The sequence below is a fragment of the Homo sapiens genome, chromosome 2, assembly GCF_000001405.40.
Source record: "Homo sapiens chromosome 2, GRCh38.p14 Primary Assembly".
Lineage (NCBI taxonomy): Eukaryota > Metazoa > Chordata > Mammalia > Primates > Hominidae > Homo > Homo sapiens.
The window spans coordinates 119155175-119159464 of record NC_000002.12 but is presented as its reverse complement, the minus strand read 5'-3'; the positions used below and the strand labels follow the sequence as shown (position 1 = coordinate 119159464).

The following is a 4290-nucleotide window of genomic DNA, read 5'->3' as shown; positions in this document are numbered from 1 at the left end:
CGGCCTCCCAAAGTGTTGGGATCACAGGCGTGAGCCACTGCGCCCGGCCGCAAATATTCTTGTATTGGGAGCCTTGGGCTTTTTAGAGTCACCTCAGAGGTTAGTGGGGTGCTCTACGGGAGCCTGTTTAAGAGTCTGGAGTCCTTAGTCTAGGTTTGCGAAAGATCTTCCAGAAGCGAGATCTATTCAATTCTGAAGAAATAACTCAGGAGGTCTTTCAGAAACTCCTTCCCGCTGGACCTCACGGGACTCTCCTGGACTCGGTGGGTTGAGGTTTGATCCTCTTTGCAGGCCAGGGGATGGATTAGGTGACCCCAGAGGAGCCCTGCTGACACCTGGATTCCAGCTGCTTTCGTGGCCATGTGGGGGTGGCTGTGCGTGCCCCGCCACTGCGTGCGTGGGTGTCTGTGTGTGTTATCGGTGGGGGGCGCGTGAGTGTGGCCGCGGGTGGGTGTGTCCGATGTGCCCCGGCTTGGGACCGCGCCCGCTGCGCCCACTTGTGGCTCCTGGGAGCCGCCAGGGGGAACCGCGCCTTCACCGCCTCTGCCGAGGACGCCGCCAGATAGGAGGCTGATGACATGAGGGCTCCGTCTCCCGAGTGATGGCAGCGCGCGCTGCTTCGCCGCCTCCGCCGCTCAGCCCCGGACTCCTTACGTCAGGGTAGCGGGGTCCCCCCTCCGCGCGGGAGCCAGCGAACAGCGAGAGAGCACAGCAGAGCGCGCCGCGGAGCCGGGGCGCCCTCACTGCGCTAGGAGCCCCACTAAACCCAGCGGAGCGGAGCCTGGCGGGAGGCAGCGCCGCGGAGCCAGCGCCGGACGCCGCAAGCAGACTCCCCGGCCAGCGCAAGCACTCCCTGGCCGGCGCCGGACCCTCGGGGCGCCGGATTCGTCTTGTGTGCCCCACGTCATGCGCGCGGGCGTCCGCGGCTCTCCCGACCAGCCCCAGCGCGGTGGGCCCAGGCTCAGAGGTCCCGGCGCCTCTCGCTGAAGTAGTTGGGTAGCCGGGGCTGGGGGTCGCCACGTCGGGGGCGCGGCCAGGACCCGCGGAGCCGGTCCCCGAGCGCGGGGAGCGGGGCCGCCCGCGCCGCCCCACCATTACCTCCCCGGGCGGCAAGGAGGAGCTGGTGGCGGTCGCCTCCCGGCTGTGGCAGCGGCGGCGGCGTGCCTGCCTGGCGGCCGTCGGCGTACTCTTGGCCATGGCGCTCGGGCTGCTCATCGCCGTGCCGCTGCTGCTGCAGGCGGCGCCCCGAGGCGCCGCGCACTATGAGATGATGGGCACCTGCCGCATGATCTGCGACCCTTACACTGCCGCGCCCGGCGGGGAGCCCCCGGGTGCAAAGGCGCAGCCACCCGGACCCAGCACCGCCGCCCTGGAAGTCATGCAGGACCTCAGCGCCAACCCTCCTCCTCCTTTCATCCAGGGACCCAAGGGCGACCCGGGGCGACCGGGCAAGCCAGGGCCGCGGGGGCCCCCTGGAGAGCCGGGCCCGCCTGGACCCAGGGGCCCTCCGGGAGAGAAGGGCGACTCGGGGCGGCCCGGGCTGCCAGGGCTGCAACTGACGGCGGGCACGGCCAGCGGCGTCGGGGTGGTGGGCGGCGGGGCCGGGGTAGGTGGCGATTCCGAGGGTGAAGTGACCAGTGCGCTGAGCGCCACCTTCAGCGGCCCCAAGATCGCCTTCTATGTGGGTCTCAAGAGCCCCCACGAAGGCTATGAGGTGCTGAAGTTCGATGACGTGGTCACCAACCTCGGCAATCACTATGACCCCACCACGGGCAAGTTCAGCTGCCAGGTACGCGGCATCTACTTCTTCACCTACCACATCCTCATGCGCGGCGGCGACGGCACCAGCATGTGGGCGGACCTCTGCAAGAACGGGCAGGTCAGTGACCCCTACACTCACCGGCCCCCGTAAACCCTCGCCCGCGCCCTGAACCTCCCAGGGAACCAGCCTCCTTTCTCTCCACCCGCGGGCTACCCTGCGAGCCCCGGGAATGAACGCGCCTCGGTGCCACAGTATCTCCGCTTCCCGATGCGCCGAGGCCGCGCTCACCGGGACGTAGAGCCAAATGTTGGGCCTTGAGAGCCCAGAGACCCCCATACCTAAACTACACTCCTTGGCCACTTGCGTCCCTGCCTGCCTCTCCGTGGGCTTCTCGGAAACCTCAGTTCTTTAGTTCTCTCCAGGTCGCCCCCTTGCCCTGCAGCCTCCTTTCCTCTTGGCCCTGGCCCCTGGCTCCCACCCTTCCACTCTGGGTCAGTGTTCATGAAGCTTCCCCTCTCCCTATTTCCCAGACTCGTCGGCGCGAGGAGGAGGGGGGACCTGGAAGGAGTTGACTAAGTTGGAGAGAGAACATGGAGCTGGGGTGGGAGTGTGGACCCTGAAGCAGCAGGCGGGAGGCCCGTGAGTGGCGCGCCTGGTGTGGGCTGAGCAAAGGCGCGGGAAGAGGTGCCCCGGCTCACCTGCTCCCACCGCTTGTCCCCAGGTCCGGGCCAGCGCCATTGCACAGGACGCCGACCAGAACTACGACTACGCCAGTAACAGCGTGGTGCTGCACTTGGATTCAGGGGACGAAGTGTATGTGAAGCTGGATGGCGGGAAGGCTCACGGAGGCAATAATAACAAGTACAGCACGTTCTCGGGCTTTCTTCTGTACCCGGATTAGGGGCGCGGGGGGTGCGAGGCGGGGTGGCTGCAGGCCGCCCGGTCTCCGCCCGGGCGCGGCTCCTTGGCAAAGGCCACTCTCGATTCATAACACTTCCTGACATCTCCTTTGGAAAAGACAAATCCCTGCGTCCTCCCTGCCCCGCTCCTGGCCTCAGTGCGTCTGCGACCCACCACGCTCAGGGCTGTGCTCCTGGTCTCCATCCCCATCCCGGCAAGGGAGGAAGGGACGCCCGAGCCCTTGAGGCGGCGGCACAGACTTTGCAAACCTGATTAGACTGGACAGGCAGGGCCGGGAGCCTGCCCTCCTCAGACAGCCTCCTCCCAGTGCCTAGAAGCGGAGGGCTCCGGGCCCTGGCCAGGGAGGTAGGCCAGAGGGAGCGCGGGCTTCCTGGGGCGTCCTTCTTTGTGACCCGAAATACTTGTGCAGATTTCCCTGTCCATCAGCCAAAACCCCACCCACAGCAGAATTCCAGCAAACAGAAAATTCACCTCTCCACACCGCATTCCCTCCTGACTCAGACTCACCGCGATGCATTAAATTATGTTTTTAGACTATGCGTTCTGTTGTCTGTATGTCGACACATCCTGGACCAGGGCTCCAGATGTCCGCCTTGGCATAAAGACCTTACCTGGGCCCAGGATAGGCCCATCTATGACCTGCTCCCCAGCCGCTGCTATGTCCCTGCCACCAGAAGTTGCCGAAAAGACATGGGGTAAATGGGAGCTGCATCCCACCCTTCCCAGAAGCTCTCCCCAGGCTGCAGCCCTGAGCTGGAGAGGCCGGAGGTGGGGTTGGGAGGAGGGGAGGAGGCGGGGAAAGGCATCAGGGAGAGTTAGAGGAAAGCAGGAGAGGAATGATTGGGTCTCCAGTCTTGGGCAACTTGGGCAACTTAGTCCTCCCGGAGTTGTGGGTGGAGGTCAGAGGGGAGGGGCTTCTGGGGAAGGAAGGGGAAGAGAAGGCATCTATGGGAAATGGGAGGCGTGAGTGACACTTGCCGGGGAGGGATCTGTAGGATGTTTGGCTCCTAAAAGGAAGTGCAGAAGTCCCTAGCAGACACACACCCGCTCGAGCGGATGGTTCACTAAGCACAGGCCTGTTTACTCACAGCCGCCAGGGCCACCGCTCTCCGGAGAGCTGGTAAACTGAGGCAATTCCGCGGATCATCCAGCTTGCTGAACTTCCTCAGGGCTGTGTGTTGAGGTGGACACCATTCCTTGGGGAGGGACGCCTCTTTCCTGCGGGCTTCCCTTCCCTTATGCATGCGATTTGGGGTGCCTGCTCTGAACCTGAGTGTGTGTGTTTGGTGTCCCATCAGCATTCTACACACACACAAGTTAGGAAAACACCCCGCATGGTTTTGATTTTTTTCTTTTTACTTTTTTTTTGTTGTCAGATCACTGAGTTACAACAAAGTTATGTACAAAATAACCAGTCAGCTCCCAGCAACCTGTTAGTGCTTACTGAGGTCACTTTTACGGGTTGTGTGAAAAGAAATGTGTGAGTATACACAAAAAGGCAACCCCAGGGTGTGTGTATCTGTGTAAAGCTGGAGATTGTGTGTGTGTGTGTGTATCTCCTATGTGGATGTGATGTTGTGATTGTCCTCACGTAATCCACATTACAC

At 63.0% G+C, this 4290-nt stretch overlaps 1 protein-coding gene across 1 annotated transcript, besides 1 other annotated feature; it reads left to right on the top strand.

Moving 5' to 3' along the window:
• Positions 1-713: 713 nt before the first annotated feature.
• On the top strand, positions 714-3222 carry C1QL2 (complement C1q like 2). The gene is made up of 2 exons (NM_182528.4): positions 714-1879; positions 2484-3222. Exons 1-2 carry the CDS (start codon positions 1196-1198, stop codon positions 2661-2663), a joined length of 864 nt encoding a protein of 287 aa, NP_872334.2. The 5' UTR covers positions 714-1195; the 3' UTR covers positions 2664-3222.
• Positions 1536-2346: an enhancer, noted in NCBI's record as "H3K27ac-H3K4me1 hESC enhancer chr2:119914695-119915505 (GRCh37/hg19 assembly coordinates)". NCBI's record gives its function as "activates a minimal SCP1, AML or CMV promoter by ChIP-STARR-seq in primed H9 embryonic stem cells {active_cell/tissue: H9 hESC(primed)}" and the evidence as "EXISTENCE:reporter gene assay evidence [ECO:0000049][PMID:30033119]".
• Positions 3223-4290: the final 1068 nt, after the last annotated feature.

Coding starts and splice junctions, on each gene's coding strand:
- C1QL2 (NM_182528.4), top strand. CDS start 1,196: ATGGCGCTCGGGCTGCTCATCGCCGTGCCGCTGCTGCTGCAGGCGGCG. Junction 1,880..2,483: donor ACCTCTGCAAGAACGGGCAG/GTCAGTGACCCC, acceptor GCTTGTCCCCAG/GTCCGGGCCAGCGCCATTGC.